Source organism: Homo sapiens, chromosome 4 (genome assembly GCF_000001405.40).
Source record: "Homo sapiens chromosome 4, GRCh38.p14 Primary Assembly".
NCBI lineage: Eukaryota > Metazoa > Chordata > Mammalia > Primates > Hominidae > Homo > Homo sapiens.
The window spans coordinates 183,151,099-183,176,729 of NC_000004.12; the positions used below are offsets into that span (position 1 = coordinate 183,151,099).

The 25,631-nt window shown below is 39.4% G+C and overlaps 1 protein-coding gene across 5 annotated transcripts in view; it reads left to right on the top strand.

Annotated features, from left to right (window-relative positions):
• Positions 1 to 25,631, top strand: part of WWC2 (WW and C2 domain containing 2) — a 221,521-nt gene that overhangs the window by 51,842 nt on the left and 144,048 nt on the right. The window lies entirely within an intron of this gene.

Genomic DNA, 25,631 nt, shown 5'->3' on the forward strand with positions numbered 1-25,631 from the left:
TTGAGGAATCACTACACTGTCTTCCACAATGGTTGAACGAATTTATACTCCCACCAACAGTGTAAAAGCATTCCTATTTCTCCACATCCTCTCCAGCACCTGTTGTTTCCTGACTTTTTAATGATCGCTGTTCTAACTGGTGTGAGATGGTATCTCATTGTGGTTTTGATTTGCATTTCTCTGATGGCCAGTGATGATGAGCATTTTTTCATGTGTCCTTTGGCTGCATAAATGTCTTCTTTTGAGAAGTATCTGTTTATATCCTTTGCCCACTTTTTGATGGGGTTGTTTGATTTTTTCTTGTAAATTTGTTTAAGTTCTTCGTAGATTCTGGATATTAGCCCTTTGTCAGATGGGTAGATTGCAAAAATTTTCTCCCATTCTGTAGGTTGCCTGTTCACTCTGATGGTAGTTTCTTTTGCTGTGCAGAAGCTCTTTAGTTTAGTTAGATCCCGTTTGTCAATTTTGGCTTTTGTTGCCATTGCTTTTGGTGTTTTAGACATGAAGTCCTTGTCCATGCCTATGTCCTGAATGGTAATGCCTAGGTTTTCTTCTAGGGTTTTTATGGTTTTAGGTCTAACATTTAAGTCTTTAATCCATCTTGAATTAATTTTTGTATAAGGTGTAAGGAAGGGATCCAGTTTCAGCTTTCTACATATGGCTAGCCAGTTTTCCCAGCACCACTTATTAAATAGGGAATCCTTTCAACATTTCTTGTTTTTCTCAGGTTTGTCAAAGATCAGATGGTTGTAGATGTGTGGTGTTATTTCTGAGGGCTCTGTTCTATTCCATTGGTCTATATATCTGTCTTGGTACCAGTACCATGCTGAAAAACTAAACAATTTAAAAAATTACATTTTATAGTAAACACTTTATATAAGCCTCCATATACATTGGAATCTAGAATTGGGATTTGTTAACCTCAGTGTCGTAACTGAAAGTGGGTGTGGAGAAACATTGCTTGTCTCTTGGATTCTGGAAAGTATCAGTGTAGTGTGGACTTACAAATCCACAGAGACAATGTATCTGTCCTTGTTTCTCGTAAGAAAGAAAAGGATTTAACGTTTATTAAGTTCTTCCTTTGGGTCTGGTTGTTCTATGTACATTTTAAAAATATATAGCCCACCATGGTGGTTCATGCCTGTAATCCCAGCACTTTGGGAGGCTGAGGAGGGAGGATGCTTGAGCTCAGGGGTTTGAGACCAGCCTGGGTAACATAGTGAGACCCTGTCTCTACAAAAAATAAAAAAATTAGCTTGGCATGTAGATGTGTGCTTGTACTTCCAGCTACTTGGGAGGCAGAGGTGGGAGGATCACTTGAACCCAGGAGGTGGAGGTTGCAGTGAGCTGAGATTGTGCCACTGCACTCCAGCCTGGGCAACAGTGCAAGACCCTGCCTCTTAAAAAAAAGAAAAAAGGTAAAGTGAAACTTAAAAAAAAAAAAAAAACGCACACACAGGCGTTCACATGTGCATATAGTTTTGTTTTCGAGAGTTGGGGTCTTGACCGGGCATGGTGGCTCACACCTGTAATCATAGCACTTTGAGAGGCCAAGGCGGCAGATCACCTGAGTCAGAAGTTCAAGACCAGCCTGGCCAACATGGTGAAACCTGTCTTTACTAAATATACAAAAAATTAGCCAGGTGTGGTGGCGGGTGCCTGTAATCCCAGCTACTCAGGAGGCTGAGGCAGGAGAATCGCTTGAACCCAGGAGGCAGAGGTTGCAGTGAGCCAAAATTGTGCCACTGCACTCCAGCCTGGGTGACAGAGTGAGACTCTGTCTCAAAAAAAAATAAAAAATAAATAAAAATAATAGAGTTGGGTTCTTGCTCTATCAGCTAGGCTGGAATACAGTGGTGTGAACACAGCTTACTGCAGCCTTGAATCCCTGGGCTCAAGTGATCCTCCTGTCTCAGCCTCCGCAGTAGCTGGGATTATAGGTACATCACACTACACCCAGCTAATTAAAAAAATATATATAGTTTTTGTAGAGACAGAGTTTCTTTATGTTGCCTAAGCTGGTCTTGAACTCCTGGCCTCAAGCTATCCTCCTGCGTTGGCCTTCTAAAGTGCTGGCATTGCAGGTGTGAGCCACTGCACATGGTCTTATATGTTTTTATGTTTGGGACTTTTAGGCTGTTGATGTTATTTATACCCATTTAATAACTGAGTGAACCAAAGCTCAGAGAGATTAAATACCTTATCTGAGATTACAGAGTAGGAGATTCAAGTAGGGCTTCAAAGCCTAGACTTAGTCCTCTTTGCTTCACTGCCTCTCAGGTAAAGGAATGTGAAGACTGTGTCACATTCCAGATACATTTGGTAATCTGGCTGAAATGTTCTAAAGATTTAATTTGTGTTTACTTCATTTTGGTTTGAAAAGCCACTATAATTCATACGTGTAACTAAAATAGTTAAACATTTAAAATGTGTGCCATTTAAAAAATATTGTTATTAAAGAAAAATATTCATACGATACTAATGTGTTATTTTAACTAATAATTGAAATGTCAGTTTTTAGTAAACATTATTGCCCTAGAAGTAGTCTTTTTTTTTTTTTTTTTGGTAAGACATGGTTTTTCTGTCACCCAGGTTGGAGTGCAGTGGCGCAATCACGGCTCACTGCAGTCTTGATCTCCTGGGCTCAAGTGATCTTCCGACCTCAGGCTCCTGAGAAACTGGGACCACAGGTGTGTGCCATCACGCCCAGCTAATTTTGTATTTTTTATAGAGATGGGGTTTCACCATGTCCCCCAGGCTTGTCTTAAACTCCTGAGCTCAAGCAGTCACCCACCTCATCCTCCCAAAGTGCTGGGATTACAGGCATGAACCACTGTGCCTGGCCCAAACAGTCATGATTAGTGGACTTGCTCTTTTAACAGTGAATTGCTGGCTTTAAAAAGCAAAAAAAAAAAAAAAAAAAAAAAAAACCCCAAATCTAATTCATCATTTAGTTCCTTTTAAATTAGGCTGCATTTAAGGAACTGCAATTCAAATATTAAATTTCTGGGTTAATTTTTAGAAAGCATAACTTATTTGATCTTTTTAAGCACATTTGTGTTTTTGTAGTAGTTGAGTTCATTATGGACTCTGGAGACAGGCAGACTGCCTGCATTTGAATCCTGGCTCTGCCTTTCACTGGCTGTGTGATTTCAGGCAAGTTACTTAATCTTTCTGTGCCTCAGTTTCCTTATCTGTACAGTAGGGGTTATAGAAGGACCTTAAGTCAAAGGCTTATTATGAGCATCCAGCGATACCTGCTCAACATGTGTTAGTGTGATGACCTTAAGTTGTGAAAACTGTATTTGGGTTATGTGCCATTTCTGAAGGCCATGATCCCCAGGGAATATCTCGTGATGACCCTCAAGCCCTTGTCCTGAATGAGGAGGAAAAGGTCAGGCACAACCTTGTGATTTCCCCGGTGTTGGACTTCTGTGTTCACCAGCAGGATCTCCATTTCTATAACCAAATGGCTACATCTTGCATAGAGACTCTACCACTGTGTCTGAAGGTATGGCAACATTTCACAAATTTGGATTTATCTCATTATAAATTTTAATAATTTAACCGGATTAAGATGAAGCTCACTCTTCTGTCTATGGTGGCATTATTTGCTAACCTTCACCCTCTTGCAGCCATCCCCCACATTCCCCTATCTGCAGTTGTGGCGCCTAGGAGGATAGTAGATATGCCGTATAGCCAATGACAGTATGCTGCAAGCACAATGCCCACCTGTGGGTTGGGCTCAGAACCGCTCTACTGCCTAACCTGGACTCTGGCCCCTCTCTCAGACCGCAGATAACAATCCTTCAGTGCTGGTTTTGCTTTCATGCTTCTTTAAGCACTAAATTCCTTTGACACCGCCTTGCTCTCGCAGCTGCTCTGTCCCATTGTATTATAGAATAAGCACATGCTAGCGTACCTGCAAAGCAGGAGCAATAAAAACAATGAGAGGAAGGAGGGACATTGTGGGCACAAGTTAGATAATTGACATTCAAACATGAAGGAAAAAATTAGAAAAGTTAGAACTTGGTAGGGCTGTCATACTGCTTATTTATTTGCAGCAAGTTCTAATGACTTCATCTTCTGAGGAGAGAGAGAGAGAGAGAGAGAGAGAGAGAGAGAGTTAGTTGACGTGGTGAGGACAGGCTTCCTGCAGTCAGCTGGCTCCACATTTGGCTTTGAGGATCGGCAGGCAAAGTGCTAGGGGTCAGCGGAGACATAGTGGCCAGTTTTGGCAGAAGGGAGATGAGAGAAGTAGTTTGGAAAAGAAGCTGAAGACTAAATGATAGGAGGCCTTGGATATTGAGAGTAAGAAACTTGAACCTGATTCTTTATGTTATAAATATCTTTTGAAGGGTTTTGCTAAAGGAGTGTGACGTGGAAGGGGTATTTTAGAATGAAGAATCTGGAAGAGTGTTGCTGGAGAGGTTGAAAGGTAGAGTGACTGGAGGGAGGAGACGAATTTGGACAATACTATAATGGTATAGGGGTGAAAAAGGTGTCTGTGTAGAGTGCTGGTATTGGAATGAGATTATGTTAAGAGTCACTCCATTATTCTCCCTGTTAGCAGTTGGTTGGACTACATGTACTTTAAAGTCATAAGATGTACTTTAAGAAAATGTCATATACAGTAATGCTGACTTTTCACTCAGTCCTTTTCTGTACGTGAGTGCCTTATGCTAACAGAGAATCTACTCAGAGTCATTGAGCCAAGACACCCCTTAAGAAGAAATAGTAGTACCTTTTTCCGGTTCTGTCTGTCAAGGTTGGTGGTTTAAATCAGGATTTTTCAGTCTGTTTTACAGAGCCTGATTACTTCACAAGTTTATAATATTTTTCAAGTTTTCTGAATTGAGATTTTAAGATGATGTGATGATGTCACTTGTGATTTGCCAATTCCGTTGTGTTGTTTTTTTCTTTCTTTCCTTTTTTTTTTCTTTTTTGAGACGGAATCTTGCTCTGCCGCCCAGATTGGAGTACAGTGGCGTGATCTCGGCCCATTGCAACCTCCACATCCCAGGTTCAAGCTATTCTCCTGCCTCAGCCTCTTGAGTAGCTCGGATTACAGGTGCCGCTACCACACCTGGCTAATTTTTGTATTTTTAGTAGAGATGGGGTTTTGCCATGTTGGCCAGGTTGGTCTCGAACTCTTGACCTCTGGTGATCCGCCTACCTCAGCCTCCTAAAGTGTTGGGATTACAGGCGTGAGCCACCATGCCTGGCCCTTTGTTCTTTTTTTTTTTTTTTTTTTTGAGACGGAGTCCCACTCTGTTGCTCAGGCTGTAGTGCAGTGGCACAATCTCGACTGCAGCCTCCACTTCCTGGGTTCAAGTGATTCTCCTGCCTCAGCCTCCCAAGTAGCTGGGATTACAGGCATATGCCACCATGCCTGGCTAGTTTTTGTATTTTTAGTAGAAACGGGGTTTCACCATGTTGGCCAGACTGTTTTCGAACTCCTGACCTTGGGGGATCCACCTGCCTTGGCCTCCCAAAGTGCTGGGATTACAGGTGTGAGCCACCACGCCCGGCACCTTTGTTCTTCATTTATTCTCCCATCTACTCTGCAGTGACCTCACTGTTCTCAGTAAATGAATTAAGGACTTGATCAGAAAGTACACATTGGAAAGCTAAGTACAATTTATCTTTTGCTCTTTTTTCTTATTTGGAAATAATTTCATACTTACAGTATAGATGCAAAAAGAGTACAAAGAATTCTCATTTACCCTTTACCCAGATTCCTCAAATGTTAATATTTTACCATGTTGGCATTGTCATTCTCTCTCTCGCCCTCTTTCCTTCCCGCCCTTTATACACACACATACATCTCTTCCCTCGTACTCATTAATTTTTGTTCTGAACTGTGTTAGAGTAAATTGCAGATATGATACCCTTTACCCCAAAACAATAGCATTCACTTACCTGATCACACTATAATGATCTATATATTTATTCAAATTGGGCAAGATTGTCCCCTACTGTCCTTTATAGGGCCTTCTTTCCCCTGGTCCACATCCAATTCAGGCTCACCTGTTTTATGTAGTTGTGATGTCTTTTTGTTCCCCTTTAATCTGGATGATTTTCTCAGTTTTCTTTATTTTTCATAAATTTGACATTTTTGAAGAACACAGATCACTTAATTGGGTCCTCAATTCGTGTTTGTCTGATATTTAAACATTAGATTCAGGTTATGCATTTTTGGCTGAAGTACGCTGTGTCCTTCTCAACATACCATGTCAGGGGGCACATGATGATGTCTCTTGGTTCCATTCCCCGTGATACTAACTTTGGTCTCCTGTTGAGGGATGTCTGCCAGGTTTCTGGCAGTGTCCTCTAGTGGTTGTTTTACTGGGTGCTTTACAGAAATGGGAAGGGGAAAGGACTTGTGTGTCACTCAATTTTTTTTTATATATTTATTTTGAGACGGAGTCTCGCACTGTTGCCCAGGCTGGAGTGCAGTGGCGCAATCTCAGCTCACTGCAACCTCCACCTCCTGGGTTCAAGCGATTCTCTTGCCTCAGCCTCCCAAGTAGCTGGCATTACAGGTGCATGCCACCACACCCAGCTAATTTTTTGTATTTTTTAGTAAAGAAGGGGTTTCACCGTGTTAGCCAGGATGGTCTGGATCTCCTGACCTTGTGATCCGCCTCCCTCTGCCTCCCAAAGTGCTGGAATTACAGACGTGAGCCACCGCGCCCAACTGTGTCACTTAATTTTTTTTTTTTTCACTGTCTTCTGAATTTCCCCTTTTCTTCTTTTCTCTTTACCATGCAGTTTTCAAAGAAGGTCTCCTTTTCTAACTACTTTGTTTTCCCCCAAACAGTTGCCTTTCCAAGGGACTGCCTCCTAGAGTCCCAAGGTGTATTTTTAAGTTCCTTTTCTGTAGTATGCGATGATGCACCTTCCCCCCTTTCCTCCATCTCACCTTAGTATTTTCACATTTAGATGAACTTTGTCTTTTAGGGAGTGATTTTAGATCAATCTTAGGGCCACATCTAACACCCCCTTATTTCTTCCCTTCCATTTTTCTCTGTATACTCTTGTTCCTGTTAGGGCTTATAGCAGAAACTTGAGATATACAGTCAGTTCTGTTACAATGCAGCGTATGCATTCTTGAAAATCATTGTGCTATGCAAAATTGCACAATAAAAACCACAGCGCTTGTGGAAAAAATGAGGTTTGGGGTATATATTAGTTTGTAGGGCTGCCATAACAAAGTAGCACTGACTGGGTGGCTTAGACAACAGAAATGTATCTTCTCACAGTTCCAGAGGCTGAGTCTGAGACCGGGTGTAGGCAGGGTTGGTTTCTTCTGAGACCTGTCTCCTGGGCTTGCAGATGCCGTCTTCTCCTTGTGTCTTCACATGGTCTTTCCTGTCTGTGGGTCTGTGTCCTGATCTCCTTTTCTTACAAGAATGCCAGTCAGTCTAGATTAGGCCTACCTACATCATCTCATTTGACCTTAATTATGTCTTTAAGGGCCCTGTTTCCAAACACAGTCAAACCTCAGGTTATGGTGTTGAGGGTTAGGACTTGAGCACGAATTTTGGGGGACACAAGTCAGCTCATAACAAGTCACAGTGCTCAAAACGTCAATGACACATTACAAAAATACAGAAACTAGTAAAAACTGTAGCACCATTTTACCCCTGTTAAATCATTAGAAATACATAAACATTCCAGTAAACATGGCACTTTACCTCGGAAAAGATGGGAAGTTTGCTTGTGGGAGTGGGCATAGGAAGGAGACTGTAGCGTGTAATTTATTTTGAAATGATGCAGGCAGGTTTATCTTATGTCAGATGGAAAGTTAGCACCAGATGAATGGGTGTGGCTTACAATGGCTGTGGTGAGCCAGGGTGGCTGGCAGATGCTCCAGGTGTGCTGTGTGCTTGTGCCTGTGTGTGTTTTGTATATTATTCCTGCCAGCTTGGTTCTGCTGGGTGCAGTTTTCTGCATTCACCTAGTATCTCAGCAGATGAAAATACCCATAAAATGCAAAATTCTCATTATGCTAAAGTTGTTCTCTAATATATCAATCACATTTGAACACCAAATTTTGTGTTTTTAAAACAGATATTACAGCAGAACTGATAGTAGTTCACTAGAATTTGATGTTCACTTTTTTACTTACAGGTAATTTGAAATTACTCTAGTTTTCTGACTAGGCATGGATTTATGTAGTCCCACTTGTTCTTGCTTTTTAAAATTGTCTTTTTATATTTCTGGAGAAGGTGTTGGGAGGTTTGACTTTGCACAGCTGCCATTACTGCTGCTACTCAGATTCTTCTCTCAACAGTTCTTATCTATTTATTTATTTATTTGAGACAAGGTCTCACTCTGTCATCCAGGCCGGAGTACAGTGGCGAGATCTTGGCTCACTGCAGACTCGACTTCCCGAACTCAGGTGATACTCCCACCTCAGCCTCTGAGTAGCTGGGACTACAAGCATGCACCACAACACCTGTCTAATTTTTTGTATTTTCAGTAGAGACCAGTTTTTGTCATGTTGCCTAGGCTTGTCTTGAACTCCTAGGCTCAGGTGATCCATCTGCCTCAGCTTCCCAAAGTGCTGGGATTACAGGCATAAGCCACTGTACCTGCCTGAACTTACCTTTTTTTTTTTTTTTTAAAAAAAAAAAATTGTTTACAATACATTAATTTTGTGGAGTAATGTATTTCAAAGCAAAAATTTATAACTCCTTTTCCTCCTTCCATATGCCTTATTTGTATAATGAATTTGTCCATATTTGATCACAGTGTAGGGATCTGCTTTTCCCTAAAGTTTCATTATTTCAATAAGAATTGAAAATCTTTAGCTCAAATTGACCTAAACTAATTTTTGAGCAGGTATTGGAATGAAATAAGGCATTTCTCACTTTGCCTGATTCTGATGTGCACATATGTCAGTTATGATGGTTTACTTAAATGACACCAGTCCCCCAGCAACTTGATTGAAATTTCACCTTCCACAGTTTATTAACTGCGTAAAGTACAGATTTTGCTTTTGGCCCTTCAGTCCACAAATCCTGTATAAGTAACAAATGTGCATCATGATCAGTGACAAATCTCATTTCTTTTTCAACTCTATCAGTAATTGTCACTGTTAATCTGTTATTCAGTTCATACACAGACAGCAAAGTATGTAGTTGTATTGCTTCTTTATGTCACCCACTGATAAACTCACGTAACATTTTGTAAGAATGAATAGTTGAAAGACGAATTAGCCAACAAAGATAAAAGTGCAGCGAAGAAATGAAAAGTGATAAATGCTCGAAGTGAAATTGGAAGTGATTAGAAGATCTGAAAATATTGATAGCAAAGCAAATGTGGGATGAGAGGTAGACCTGCATGAAGCAGTGGTATGAACCATATTGAATCAGTCCTGTGAATATAAAAAACAAAATAAAATCAAGTCACTATGTTTTAGTTTAAATTTTACTAGGAACAGAAAGCTGCTTATGGCTAAAGTGGAGTATTACTTTCACTTTGGATTGAAGACCGTTTAAAAAAAATCCCAATCAGTTTGGTTAGCATTAAGGTAAAAGTATTGAAGTTAGTTGCCACATTGAAAGAAAATGGTAATTACACTGAGATTGAGGAAGAAATTCTACCAGTAAAGACTAGCTTCATCATTCAGAAGTTGGCGTGAGTTGATTAATCTGTTAGGTGAAGCTGTAGCACAGAGAAGGATGCTGCTGGGAAATTTGCATCCAGATTCCAAGGATTATTTAAGGTGGGTGATGATAATGATCATCAAATATTTAATATTGATGAGATAAGTTGTAAGGCAACTCCATCAGGAACTTGTGCCACAGAAGATGTAAGATCGAGAAGTAGCTTTAAGGAGTTAAAGATAGAGCAACTTATTAGGAGACAACACAAAAGGTAACTGTAAAATAAAATCTATGCTTCTCTGTCTGAGAATCCTAGAGCATTAAAAAAAAAAATCATGAAACAGGCATCTCAGCCAGTCATTTGGCATGCAAATAAACGATCATGGGTTACAGTACCATTGCTCCAAGACTTGTTTCAGTTGTGTTTTTGTCCAGAGGTTGGCAAAATAATTTTAACTTTTAGAGCACAACTACTACTGTTGGATAATGTTGCAAGTCACCCCAGTTCTCTTGAGTACTTAAAAGAAAATGTGAAAATCTGCTTTTTACTACAAACAGAAACTTCATTAATCCAGCCAGTGAACCAAGGAGTTATTTGAGCTTTTAAGGCCTGTTATCTTAGATGGAGTTTCAGACAGGTTATTAATGCTACAAGTAGAGATTATGCATTTCTGTAGCTGAATTTTGGAAGAAATATGACATAAAGCATGCATTAGAAAACAAGCATCATAGCGGGAAGTAACAGTGAGTAATGTGTGTGCAGTATGGCAGAATGTTTACCACACTGTGCAAATAACCTTGCAGAATTCGAATTGAACATAGAGTTATAGAAGAAACACAGTCACACGCTGCATAAGGACATTTTGGTCAGGACGGACTGCATATATAACAGTGGTCCCATAATATTAAAATACCATATTTTTACATACCTTTTCTATGTTTAGCTACACAAATACTTACCATTGCGTTACAGTTGCCTACGGTATTCTGTACAGTATCATGCTGTACATGTTTGCAGCCTAGGAGCGAAAGGCCTTTCCATATGGCCTAGGTGTGTAGTAGGCTACACCTCCAGGTTTGTGTGAGTGCAGTCTATGAGGTCCGCACAATGAAATCACCTAACCACACATTTCTCAGAATATATCTCTGTTACTAAGCAACATATAACTGTAGTTGACTTTGTGAATGTTCCACCATTTGAGAGACTTCAGATATGTACTCATAGGAACGTAGTGAGGGCAGATTTTTCAGCATAAATGAGGAAGGATGGAGATGTCTCAGGGGAAGTGATGCTACCAAATGTCTTTACTTTAAAAGAGATAATACATGACATTGAAAGTACAAAGGAAAAATTGTTGATAGTGAATCCAAACTTAGGAAGGAGTATTGCGACTTGTTAAGATACAGAAAAGATACTTGCTCTGTATTGTAAGTTATACAACAAAGAAGGCAAACCCTGTTCAAACTACCCGATTAGTTTTTTTTTACAAAGAAACAAACCCTAATTCTCAGTGTTTCTAATGTTTCAAATTGCAGTATACTAAATACTATTTTTACTATATTTTTCATTTGCCTATACACTTATAGAGAATTTTAAACGTTTTGATAAAAATTCTCAAAGGTCATGGAATAATTATACTCTGTTCTCATAATTATTAAAATTACTTTGCATATTTCAGCTTGCAAGGTAATTTTTATGGTGCAGCACTACCATGCAAAGCAAGGACTGCCTTTCCAAACAATAAACGTTCTTTGCCTCTTCCTGCCATCACTTTCCTTCAGCAAACATCACCATCGTTTTATTGTCTTTATTGAACTCTTCCTAGACTCTTAGTAGTATTCCCTTTACTCTTTGGCACCTTGTCCTCCAGCTGCTCCTTGACTGACATTTCTTCATCTTCCCTCTTTTCTGATCTGCTGTCTTGACAGCTGGTTTTTTTGCAGGAATTTTAGGTTGTCTGAGTCACGAGAAACTACCATTATAGTAGTTTCTTCAGCCATTCTTCTTACCCCATTCCTTCTTCCCACAGAGGCCCCTCCTCCCCTTCCAGCATCATCATTTCCCCCTTGTCTAGTTAATCTAGGTTAGTGGTTATTTGGTTATTCTAGAGCATGTCCTTAGGGTCTCATCCACAATCCCAAAGCCTTATCAAGGGCTTTGCCTTTTCTAATGTATTCATCTTTCTTTTGCGTTCCAAGAAGTGCCTTTATTTCCTGGTGTTCCATTTTTGTTTTTCTCTCTAGTGCCTTGGTGAGATGAGATGACTTCAAAGGAAGGAGCCCTTTTACATGAGTGCCTAGCAGTAAAAAGCTTTGAGATAAAACAGCGATTTCCATTAGGGACAAAAAGAGGGTAGAGCAAAGCTGTAAGACTTTCTTCAGTGAACCCATAAAGGGGAAAAACTGGAACTATTAAAAAGTGGTGACGGTAAAAGGAAAGCAGGCAGACCTGTTCACGTGGCCACACAGAGATTAGAAAATAAGTGTCTTGGGAGATGTTTAGTACTTAAAGTGTGCCAAGGTGATGTTGACTGCCAGTAGCTCCTCACTCTTTCTGGTCCACACCCCACACTGCCAGCTCACCCCTGCCCTGGGCTGCCGGAGTAGCCATCCATCAGTGGAGTGCAGCTGGAAGCTGAGAAATCTGTTCTTTCATCACCAGAAGAGAAGCCCAGAGCCCATAGCCACAGGGGATAGTAAGAACAGAACAACAAATCAGTCCAGTAAAAAAACTGGTCACATGATAGGGAGGATGCAGATAACTTTATTTAGGTAAGCTGTGAGGTTGAGACTTCTGTGATCTGGTTTGGGGGCATGACAAAATGAATAACCTGAGTGCGAAACAGCTGACTACCAATGAGTGTTTGGGGCATAACCTCAGTGTAAATTAGGATACGTCTCTATTTCCTTTATTTTTCATTTTGGTTGTTTGACTTGACCTACGTTACAGGTCATTGCTAAATTACTTTGGAAGTACCCTTTGTCTTGATTGTGTTACTGTATGTGGATGGTGCTCAAAATTATTAAATTTAATTCAGAAGTTTCAATTTTGTGAAGAGATGGTGGGTATTTTCTAGGTCATAATACAAAAGTGATTTGTGATCTAGCTATTGGGTGCCTCAAATTGTATAACATAATTATAGTTAGAATTGAATCATCAAATAAGGTGGCAAGATTAATGGGAGTGGCTAGCTTTAATGTTCCAGGTTATATTAATTTTAGATAAAATGAAATTAGTATTCCTATGGACAATTGAGTCAAGTTCTTGAATTACTGTATTCAGTTGGGATTGACTCAATTTAACAAAATGGTACTATTAGAGTTTTTGAGGATAATGAGAAAATGGAACTGAAATTAAAATTGTCTCTTGCACTTTGGACAAAATAATTTCTGTGAGCAGCAATTAAGAAGGTCCATATAAGAGATTCACCTTCTGCTCTAATTTCATTTAGTAAGATTGCATGATCTTAAGCTCCGTGATATTTTACTTGGAAAATGTTATGACTTAACGTAGGTCAGTGTCCCCTGCATTATGTGATTTGGTGTGCGCATATATATATATATATATATATATATATATATATACATATATATATTATATATACATATATATATATATATACATATATATATTATATATACATATATATATTATATATACATATATATATTATATATACATATATATTATATATAATATATATATTTTTATATATATTTTTAATATATATATTTTAAGTAGTGGCACAGAAAGAAGAGATTAGGAGTTGATCTTCAAAAGGCAGAGAAAATTAGAACTAAGGAATTCCTACCTTTTTTAAAAAAGCTAAAAATAATTTTGGGAAGCTCTTTAGACAGTTCACACTGTTGGAGAAAAACCCTGTGATATGAATGGCTTTGAAACCAGCAGCAGAGAAGTAGGTCCTTTCCTGTGGGTATGGGTCCTGGAATGGATTGGGTTTAGGCCCACTTGGCTCACCTGTTAGGAGGATGCTCCTTGGAGCCAGGCCTTGTGGGTATTCTTGGGCAGCGCTTGACTTCTGAGGACATGGGCACATGTTTTCAAGAGACCAGGCAAATTATAGTTGTCTGGGTACCAATTCCATGTGGCAGCCTCCAGTTAAGTGACATCCACATTCTGGTTACCATAAGGATTTTTAATGACCAATGGTATACTGTAGAAAAGGCACATTTTAGGCATTTAGTAAACTAGAGGTATTGATAACTAATAATAACTAATAGTAATAAGTACTGCTGCAGAGGTACTAATAACTAATAGTAAATGTTAGACTCATTTAAGAGCTGGATTAACAATCATTACCTCTAGCATAACACAAACATTCCTGGGTCTGTGCATTTCACATTCCATTTGTTTCAGAGTCTTGTATTTACTGGGTAAATGCCCATGGGAATTCAAATCATGGTTGGGCAAAGTTGGTTTGAGGGTAGGACAGGGAGTACGGGATTAGAGAGGGTAGAAGAGGTACAAGGGCCTCTTCTGACTTGGAGTGTCAGGGACACATTCATGTCAGGGCTTTGGAAGGGCCTCTTGACTGGGGTTTGGTGTGTGGAGAGTGGAAAGCTGAGTTGGGAAGCCTTCTTCTTTCCTCCTAAATTCCACCCTGATAACAACAGAAAAGCATCTTTGGCCTCTATGACATTAAAATATTTGAGCATTAAGGGTCAGGTGCTAGGCTTGAGAAGCTGTTTAAGCCAGGCTAAATACAACTTTAGTGGAGATGTGCTGAGGAATAGGTACACTGTTTCTTTTAGTAACTAATGTTTAATTTTTAGAGAACACAGCAGGCCTTTTGAAGGCAGTTTAAGGAATGGGTGTGGAAGGGGGTGTGGGGGAAGGAAATCTCAGCAGAATGCTTTTAGATATTTCCTGTTACATAAATGCTACATACTTCTCATGCCTTCAGACTCATAGCAAATAGGACTGAAGCCCGTTGAGGCTTACATTTAATTACTGTTACAAAGAATGTAGAAACTATATAGGTAATCAAAGAACCTTAAAAACTGGCACCAAATGCAACTTTTTCTTTTTCATCCAAATCTTACATTGTGGAATTTGAATGTGGTGTGATGAAATACACTTGGACAAAAAATAAGTGTTTGATTTTTAAAAAATGCTTTTGTTTAATTCATAAGACTTTCTGTCATAGTAAAAGAGTCTGTCTTCAGGTAGACATTCCAGATGACAAAGTGTCTCATTTATGGAGTCCCCAGAGTAGTAACTTGATACATTTATGTAGCAGTGTTTTAATGTGTGCTTGTGATGAAGAGTGCCACACTGATATCATACTGTTAGTATCTACCTGTAATGTAATAAATTGAGATCTTGTGTTAGTAATGAGAACATACAAGTTAAAGCTTTCTACTTCTAATTTTGTCCTACATTCTTTTTTTCTCTCATTTATGTTACTCCCTCCCCCAGATATAGCCAGGTTTATCTGTACTAGTGGCTAAAAGACACAGATACTGAAAGCTTTTTTTTTTCTTCCTTGATTTCAGGGAAATTGATAGAATTGGGTAAGGCATTTGGGGTATTTGTCTGCTGTAGCCCGTGGCATTCAGGGATGAGAATAGCCATCAAACTTGTAAATATTTTCTTTATATAAATGTCATGTCTGTCAAGTTCATTGCAGTGCTCCTGTGTCGGCAGAATGTCTCGATTTCAGAACTGGCTATCCCTTGGCTGCTCATTCTGGACAGTGCTCTTCACTTTTGTGAGCCATAGTGTTTTGTAAGGTGGAGCCTCATTAAATCTATCTCACAGGATATTTTTTGCCTATAAAGGAGTTGGAATACATGAGTGAAGCAGGCCTGAGTTCGTGTATATTTGAAACATGCTTCAGCAGGGCCATGAGAAGTCTTGTTTCAGTTGGTGAACAATCTCAAGTCATTTACTCACTTGTTTTTGAAATTAATTCAACCAATATTTGTTGAATATGTATAATGTGTGTTATTCTGTGTACTCTGAAGTATACAAAGATCAGTGATTACAGCCCTGGACCCTCAGGTGTCTAGAATATATAACTAGAAGGTAGTCAATATCATAAGAAAGGTAAGATCAAATACTTTGGGATCCAGGGTAGTCAAAACCTTATTGGATAAAAAGGTAATCTCTCAGCTCTGTGTCCTGAGAGCTGAAGCTCTCCTAAGTTGAAACAATGCTCTTCTTGAACTATCTCCTCACAAATTGGAAGCACAGAGTTCTGTAGGTCTTGCACCAGAGCTTAGACATGTAGTTAATACCAAGGCACCATGTGGCTGGGCAATATGGTTTCTGTCCCAGCCTGTATGACGTCATATATGGATTTGTCATTTGCACCATGGAAATTTCACATCAGGACAAACCACCATGGTTTGTGAACATGGGACATCTCTGAGGAACACAGAATTTTCATATGGCCACGGAGTGTGGTTCTTCTCTGTGTGAACTCTGGTGTTGATTTTTAAAAGGCATGCACTGATTCGAGAAAACCTAATTTTATATACTGGAGTTAGACATACCTAGGAAATAATTCATCCCATTAGACATTTATTGAGAACCTACCGTATGCTAGACATTGTGGGGATAATGATGACTCAGGTTAGTGAGGGAGAATAAAGCCTTTTATACACATAGCTCGAATACATGCAGAAATGATAAGTGAGAAGAGATACAAGTGAGAAGTGTGGCAGAGATTTAAGGGAGAGAGAGGTTATTTCTGATAGATGTGCATTTGAGTTGGGCTTTGTGTAGAGCTGTCATATCTCCCAGTCTGCTTGGGTCAGCCCCAGTTTACTCCGGATGTCCTGATGTCCCCTCCAATTAACATCTTTCTGGTCAAAATTGTTCCAGTTTGTGTGATAAATTATATGGATGGTCCCCCTAGCTTTGAGAATCAGGTAAGACTTGGCTTAGTGGAGATAGAGAACAGTCTAGGTAAAGATAAATGGCATAAACAAAAAACATGGGTGATGGAACACTTTGGTGCACTTAGAAAAAACATGTTTAGTTTGACTGTAGCTTTGGGAACAGGAAAGGGAATCACTGGAAATGAAGGTTGGGAGGTGAGTTGAGGTCAAATTTTGAGTATCCTGAATGCCAGACTAGATACCTTGATTTTATGTAGTTGGCCATGGAAGTTTGTGATTTTTTTTTTTTTTTGAGATGATGTCTTGCTTTGTCACCAGGCTGGAGTGCAGTGATGTGATCTTGGCTCAGTGCAACCTTTGCCTCCTGGGTTCAAGCGATTCTCCTGCCTCAGCCTCCCGAGTAGCTGGGACTACAGGCGTGCGCCACCATGCCAAGCCAATTTTTTTGTATTTTTAGTAGAGACAGGGTTTCTCCATGTTGGCCAGGATGGTCTCCATCTCCTGACCTCGTGATCTGTCCACCTTGGTCCCAAAGTGCTGGGATTACAGGCATGAGCCACCACGCCCGGCTGACTTTTTTTCTTTTCTTTTCTTTCTTTTTTTTTTTTTTTTAAGATTTAGAAAGATCCTTGTAACTACTGCGAGATACAAAAAAGGGCTCTTTTGGGTAACAGGGATTTAAAACAAAATTCTTAGGACCCATTGCCAATTAAGGATCATTTAGATATTTTTCTAAATTAGTGGGAAAATAAGATATAAATTACTACAGTGTACAGTGAAATGTCACAAAACCTAAAAAAATCATTAAGTTTTAGACCATGAATTGACTTTGGATCTTTGAGTCAAACATTATCATTTTATAGAAGAAGAAAATTGGCAATCAGACAGATTGTTAAATGTCAAAACTCTCCCAGCAAGCTCTTCATAGAGATGGGGTTAGAACCTAGATGCTGTGGTTTCTTGTGCAGCGGGTATTTACCTTTCCTATAGAGCTTTATTTTGGAGACTCCATTATTGACTGTTGTTGGGGCCACATCAATGTCTGCGTCTTGACTGAGCTGTGATGGAACTTATCATTCCGTCCCTGGGTGTCATTGCCATTATATGCACTGGCTGTGGTGGAAATTGTTAAGGATAAAAATGAAAAAATGAGGACAACAGATACCATTCTCATTCAGTGAAATAGGGTTTCAAATTATGGCATGTGAATACAAGAGTTTTAAAAAACTCTTTAAATATGAAATGTCATTTTATGGCATATAGTATTATAATTTTTTTTTTTTGAGACAGAGTTTCACTCTTGTTGCCCAGGCTGGAGTGCAATGGCACGATCTCGGCTCGCCACAACCTCTGCCTCCCGGGGTCAAGTGGTTCTTCTGGCTCAGCCTCCCGAGTAGCTGGTATTACAGGCGTGCACCACCACGCCCGGCTAATTTTCTGTTTTTAGTAGAGATGGGGTTTCTCCATGTTGGTCAGGCTGGTCTTGAACTCCTGACCGCAGATGATCTGCCCGCCTTGGCCTCCCAAAGTGCCAGGATTGCAGGCGTGAACCACCACGCCCAGCCTCTAAAATTTATATGTGCATATTTAAAAAACATTCAGAAGTTGTAAAATCAACAGAATTGATCAGTTAGGTATAAACTTACAAATCATTGGCACATGAAACTTTTAATTTTGCTTAATCATTATTGATGCTCCTTGAAATTTTACGTGTTGCTATAAAGCTGTTAAGAGTTGAGGAAGGACTGACTGACAAGTACGCTTCATGTGTTTTTTACACATTTATCGAAGACTGGAAAACCTGCTAGATGAATTCTAAAAGAGCTGTAACACGGACTCAAAGCTTTTAAAATAATTTTTTTTTTATTTTTTCATAGAAGTGGAGTCTCACCATGTTGCCAAACTATTCTTGAACTCCTGGCCTCAAGTGATTCTCCTGCCACAGCCTCCTACAGTGCTGGGATTACGTGTGTGAGCCACTGCACCTGGCCATGTTTTTCTTAATCATTATGTTTTTTGGGTGGCCATCAGAGAGACCCTGTAAAAAATATGATTTTGGAATGACCATGGGATACCTAAATAATAGGGTGAATATATTTATGCATATAAGCCTAATTTGTTTATATAATATAGTATATATGTTAAAGGAAGCAAGTAATTTTGGAGATTTAAGACTGTGCATAAAGAAGCATTAAAGTGCTACAAGTTCCCCTCAAACCAGTGAATCACTAAATTTCTAATAATTATATTATCAAGTAAATATTCATGTAAAATTATGTTTTCATTGCAGGAACACTTTTGAAAACCCGATTTCTAGCTAGCTTTAATATAAGCAATTAGGTAGACTTTTACCTAAGTAGAGAAGCTGCTGTAAATCACTACTTTCTCATGGATACTAATTTGAGCTTCAAAAGAACAGTATCATTCAAAGGATGCTTTTATTTGGAAAGTAGGTTTTCAAGTTACTTGAAGGATAGTTGGTTTGTTGGAAAAAGTGAACAGAAAGCTATAGCAGAAATAATGCTGAGAGGATTAGTATTCCAGATGCTTATTAACTTAAAAAGACACGAACATTAGATTAACAGTTATTGTGCCGTTGGCCAGAGAATGATTTCCACTGTAGAAAATAGCGGGTCATGCTTGATCCATTATCTGTCTTAAAACAGATTCAGGAGGCAGACACCTAGAGTCACAATGGGGGACCAGCTAACCAGTTCAGCCTCACTGAGGCTCGAAGTGTATAAACTAAAACATTCCATAGCCTTGCACAAACATGCTCTTCAGACACCTGACAACAGTTTCAGGGGCTTCCTTGGACAAACTTTCCAGCTCTCAAGTTCTGGAGTCAGTCATTAGGATGCCTGTGGGGTACGTGGACGGTGGGTGGGGTAAAGAGGAAAGCACTTTCGAGGAGAGCAGGCTTGGGAACATGTATTGCAAAGGGTTGGCACAGGGAGAGGTAAAAGTCCTGAAGGTGAAACCTGGGGAGCCTGGGATGCTGAGATGCACTTTTGTGACATGATTTTGCATTTCTGTTGATTTTCATACTATTTATTGAGAGCACGGTAGAAATAACAGGGAAGAGAAATAAATAGTCATCATGTTGTGATTTATTTATTTATATTTTTTTAAAGTGACAGGGTCTCGCTCTGCCAGCCAGACTGGAGTGCAGTAGCATGGTCATAGCTTACTATAACCTTGAACTCCTCAAGTGATCCTTTTGCCTCAGCCTCCTGAGTAGCTGGGACTACACTAGCTAATTAATTTTTTTTTTTTTTTTTAATAGAGAGTCTCGCTATATTTCCTAGACTGGTCTTGAACTCTGAGCTTCAAGTGATCCTCCTGCCTCAGTCTCCTATTATGACATTTAGAAAAAGTAATTTCTTCAAATCAATTTGGTTTTCCACTTTGTAAAATGAAGAGAGAATGTAACTGATGAGAGCTTACAGTGACATCCATTATTTCAGATGCAACCATAAGGAAGCTTTTCTAATCAAAGGCCTTCATTTCTTCTTTGTACTGTTTACAGGGTTCTTAACACAAACTGCCTTAGATTATAAACATTTCTGCATGTGCCTTATCTTTCCAATTAGACTCAGTCTTTCCAATTAGCCTCATTGAGAGCAGGGTCAAGGGTTAAAAATAAAAGTGAAAACATTTATGTTGTGCTTTAACTCTTTATAGAATACTTTTCATATATATTATTTGGTGTCTTTTAACAATATATTGACTGGGATTTCCAAATGAAAACTGGAAGAACAAGGTATAATATTTATGTTTTAAAATTTGATTTAAGATTCACTAGAGTTTAGTTATACTAAAAGTGTATATTGGTAATATCTTCATATTTTTATATTATGTATTTTGGAGTACTGAAAAATATACTTTACATAATCTCTGAGCAAATGTAACTAAAGTTTTATGAGATTTCTTTAGAGGTAAATTTGAAATCAGTAAATAAACATGGTAGGGAAACTTTTCTGACTTTTAAAATTAAAATTGGAAACTTAGTGGGAGATTTTAAAACTTTACGTTAATCAAAGTTATATCTGTAAATGATTAACAAACACTCAAATGGTTCCCAAAGCAAAGACAGGCATCCTGTGACCCACTACTCTCCCCCACACTTGATTCACTGTCTCTACAGTCGACCACATTTACATATTTAAAAGTTTCTTTTGGTATTTGCCGCTGTGTTTTTAAATAACTTTATCTATCTATCTTGACTTCTTAGCTTTGGATTTTGAGAACTGACTTCCCGCCCTGGTTGAGGATTCAGCTTTCTTACTGTGCCTTCCTCATGCACATGTGCCTCCCTCCCCTCATCCTCTTGGTGTTTTCTATCACCTTGTAAAGAAATCAGTAGTCTGTGTGTACATTTTTATGACTATGTAAATATTATTCATGGATGACCTATCTGGTGTACTATGATTGCATTTCCTTTTGTTTTCTCTGTAGTTAATAATCATCTCTTTTTTCCATTGGCTTACTTCTCTATATTCCTATTACCAATTTGTGGCCAGAATTATAAATCTCCTTTCAGTACATTCCAACACACTGTGTATTCTGTTGGTTTGGAACCTCCTGCACCTTCTGTTCTTAATTTCAAGTTTGTCCTGGTTAATCATTGTAACTGCTGCACACTGTCATCCTATGGCCTCCATTTACTGTCATCTTGTAGGTTTCATTTGTCATTTTCCTGTGTTGGGTGCTCATTTGCTGGATATCATGTCTTCCAGTTTTCTTGGTTTATTCTCTGTTTTGGTGGAGTAGCGTTGGAAAGGGAGCATAGATTTGTTGAGGCTTTGCATCTCCACAGATGCCATTATTCTGCTCTCATATGTGATTAATATTTTAGCTAGGGACATAATTCCAGGTTGGAAGTAATTTGGAGTAAAAATTCGATGGTACTGCTTTACTGACTTGTATATTCCAGTGTTGTGTTTGAGAGGTCTGATGCTTTTATGTTTCTTGTTTTTTTTTTTTTTTTTTGTTATTGTTATTTGTTTGTTTCCTCTTTGTGACCTGATTCCTCTCTGAAGTTTTTGGGTTTTGTTTTTGCCCTCATGTTCTAAAATTTCACAATGTTGGGCATTGATGTAGGCCTTTTGTAACCATTGTGCTAGGTGGGTCATATATAATCAAGAAACCAGTGTCATTCAGATTCAGTTTAGGGAAATTTTCTTGCACTAGTATTTTGATAATATTTTTCTCTTTGTATTTACTTTGTTCTCTCTCTCTGGAACTCATGCAAGTCAGATATTAGACCTCCTAGATTGGTTGTTCACTTTCCTTATCTTTTCCCTTCTGTCTTACTCTTTGGGAAATTTTTTAAACTTGATCTTTTAATTTGTCAATAGATGGTTTCTGCCATCATATTGTTCATTTCCAGGAATTTTTAAATTCTTTTCTCCAAATATTTATGTACGTATTTATTTACCTCCCCTCCCCTTCTCTCCCCTCTCCTCCCCTCCTCTCCTCACCCCACAGGGTGCTCTGTCACCCAGGCTGGAGTGCAGTGGTATAATCACAGCTCACTGCAGCCTTGACCTCCTAGGTTCAAGTGATCCTCCCACCTCATCCTCCTGAGTAGCTGGGACCACAAGCATGTGCTGCCATGCCTGGCTAATTTTTTAATTTCTTTGTTTTTGTAGAGGTGGGGTCTTGTTATGTTGCCCAGGCTGGTCTCAAACTCTCAGGCTTAAGAGATCTTCCTGCCTTGGCCTCCCAAAGTGTTGGGATTGCACGTGTGAGCCACCGTGCCTGGCCACATATTTTTCTTTTGATAGTAACCTGTTCTATCTCTCTGAATATGCTAATTGAAGTTTTCTTCAATATCTCTGAAGAAATGAATTCTTCAGTTTTATTTTTTCAGTGTTGTTTTGGTTTCTGCTTTCATTTTAGGGGACTAGTATTCTTAGCTTTTGCGTTTGAGATAAGTAATACCAACCATTCTGGCTCTTCACTCCTTCCAGACACAGGAGACAGGATTAACTTCCCTGCCTCCATCTGACTTGTTTTGACCAGTGGATTGCAAGCAGAAGTGATGTGCACGTCTCCCCTACCTGGATGATCGATGCTTGTGTTGAGATTGGAGATGCCACAGGCACCCAAGATGCAGTGTGGAATGCTCCACACTGCGGGGGGCCAGCTGCCCGGGGATTCATCCAGAGCCACTTTGGACTTGGCTTGAATGGGAAGTAAATGTTTGTTGTTTTTAACCACTGAGACTTTGGTATTGTTTTTTATTGCAGCGTTATCTAGCCTGTCCTACTGAGACAGCTCTCAGTCATATTTAAGAATGAGGCACAAAAAGCTGTTTGGAAGCTCTCTACTAGTGGGTGGGGTAGTCATATGGCAGTGATCTGGCTTAGCATTTCTGTTAAGGCACTCCCAGATGTTAATGTCAGTAGATCTTTTCTCTTGGTCTGGTCAGTTTTCCCAGGAAAAACCCTCCAATTCTTCGGCCTGACAAATGTAAGCCCAACTCCTGGGTTCTGCAAACTGAGTAATGGAAATGGGGCTTGGGATGCTTGCTGTTCAGTGTGTGCACACTCTGTAATGTTCCCTGTTTTTAATAAGGTACTCCTTTCAGCAGTCCGAGCCACCTGGAAGTCCACGGCCCATCTGATTAAGTCTTTCTAGAGAATAAACCTTCTGTTTCTGCCCAGGTTGGGCAAAGGCAGGCAGGGGGTCTGACTGCTTCTTAACAGACTTCTGGCAAGTCCTCCATGGTCACACCCTCCGTCTGAAGTCTGTGGTGCTGGAATTCCTGAGCCGTTTCAGGCTTTTGCAGTATGAATGGATCTGCTTCTGGGCTTTCTCTATTGCTAACCTAGGCTTTCTGTTTCTCATGTCTCCTGAATCACTTACCACGCTGCAGTTTGCTTCCCACCGTCCCAAATTTTGTTGTTCTCATCCGCTGACCTTCCCATTGTCCTTTTGTGTTTATGCCTTTTAAAAAATCCCCTTTCTGCTATTTTCTAGAGGGAATGTAGGTAAGCACATATATTAAATCTGTGTAGTGTTTACTGGAAGTTCTTTAATAATGAATTTTATCCTCCCAACTTTTTATTTTGAAAATTTTCAAACATAAGAAAAAATGAAAACAGTAGAATGGACACCATTGTATATATCCTGCTCTTAGATCTGACAATTAACTTTTTGCCAATTTTATCATCTCCTTTTCCTCCTCTCCTCCTTCTCCTTCTCCTTTCTCTCTCTCTCTGTCTCTCTCTCTTTTGCGCTCTCTCTCTCTCTGTAATATTCTACAAGTATATATGGTATATGTAAGATAAATATATCTATGTCTATATTTTCTCTTTTGCTGTAACATTTGAAGGTAAGGTACAGATATTATGACCCGTCACTCCTAAATAGTTCAGCATACATTTCCCAGTATATATGGTATATGTAAGGTAAATATATTTATGTCTATATTTTCTCTCTTGCTGTAACATTTGAAGGTAAGGTACAGACAGCTATTATGACCCTTCTCTCCTAAATAGTTCAGCATACATTTCCCAGGAACAAAAATATTCTCTTACAGGACTATAATTATCATACCTATGGAAAATTAAAAAAATAGTTCCATAACATCATTTAACATCTAGCATGTCTAACATCATCTGACATCTAGCATAAATTATATAGTTTCAAAATTTCTTATTTATTTATTTTTTTGTTTTTGTTTTTGTTTTTGAGGCAGTGTCTCTGTTGCCCAGGCTGGAGTGCAGCGGTGTGATCTTGGCTCACTGTAGCCTTGATCTCCTGGGCTCAGGTGATCCTCCCACCTCAGTCTCCCAAGTAGCTGGGACCACAGGCACACGCCACCACACCCGGTTAATTTTTTGTATTTTTTGTAGAGATGGGGTTTTATCATGTTGTCCAGGCTGGCCCCAAACCCCTGCGCTCAAATGATCGGCCCACATCAGTCTCCCAAAGTGCTTGGATTACAGGCGTGAGCCACCGTGCCTGGCCTCAAAAATTCTTTTATAACTTTTTTTGCCTTAAAAATTGCGATCCCATCGTGGTAAACATGCTGCAACTGGTTGTTATTTCTCTTTTGGACTAGAACAGTTTCTCAAAGCATCGTTTTTTGTACTTGATTTTTTGCTTTTAATTAATCTTGAACAGAGCTAGCACCTATAGAAAAAGATAAATAAAGATGAGGCCCTGATAAGGAGATGTTCGTGAAAGCACTGGGAAACAGAGCACATTTTATTTTTTAATGGTTTGTTTTTCTAACCCAGGTGCTACTAGTCTAAAACTTAGCCACGCAGTGCTTTGCACATTCAATTAAAACAAAGAAGCAGTATTTGTCTTCACTGTGATGAAGAACTATATTTAGAGTTTTCCCAGCCCACCTCACTTCACCTTGCATACTTTGCCAGCGTTCAGCCTCATGACTTATGCTTGCTTCAAACTGAATTTGAGTCTAAGCTCAAAGGGCATGCATTTTTGTTTATGAATAAGGGCTGATCTCTGAAGTTAGTATAGTTATCAAACATTCCTCACATTCCATATGTCTAATTTTTAGTGCTTGGAGGATCTGGTGCTGTGCCAGAGGAACATAGAGGCTAGAGAGCACACAGAAATATCACCAAGGAAAGTCTCCATGTAAGCTATAAAAATTCAATCGTATGTTTAAATAGCAAAGCAAATAGTAGGTATGGGATTGATTTGTGGCATGTTAGTACCATTCTTTAGGCTGCTTAGGAACGTTTCTTAGTTTTCTCTTGGTTCTTGAAATTCCAGCCCCGGAGCTTAAAAAAATCTGTGATTCTTTCAGTTTGTCTTTTAGTTGTACTCAGGGCCAGAATAAGGAGATTTTTTATTTTTTATTTATTTATTTTTTTGAGACGCAGTATCACTCTGTCACTCAGGCTGGAGTGCAGTGGCACAATCTCGGCTCACTGCAACCGCCACCTCCCAGGTTCAAGTGATTCTCCTGCCTCAGCCTCCCGAGTAGCTAGGATTACAGGCACCTGCCACCACGCCCAGCTAATTTTTGTATTTTTAGTAGAGATGGGGTTTCACCATATTGGCCAGGCTGGTCTCGAACTCCTGACCTCAGGTGATCCACCCACCTTGGCTCACCAAAGTGCTGGGATTACAGCCGTGAGCCACCATGCCCAGCCCTTTTAT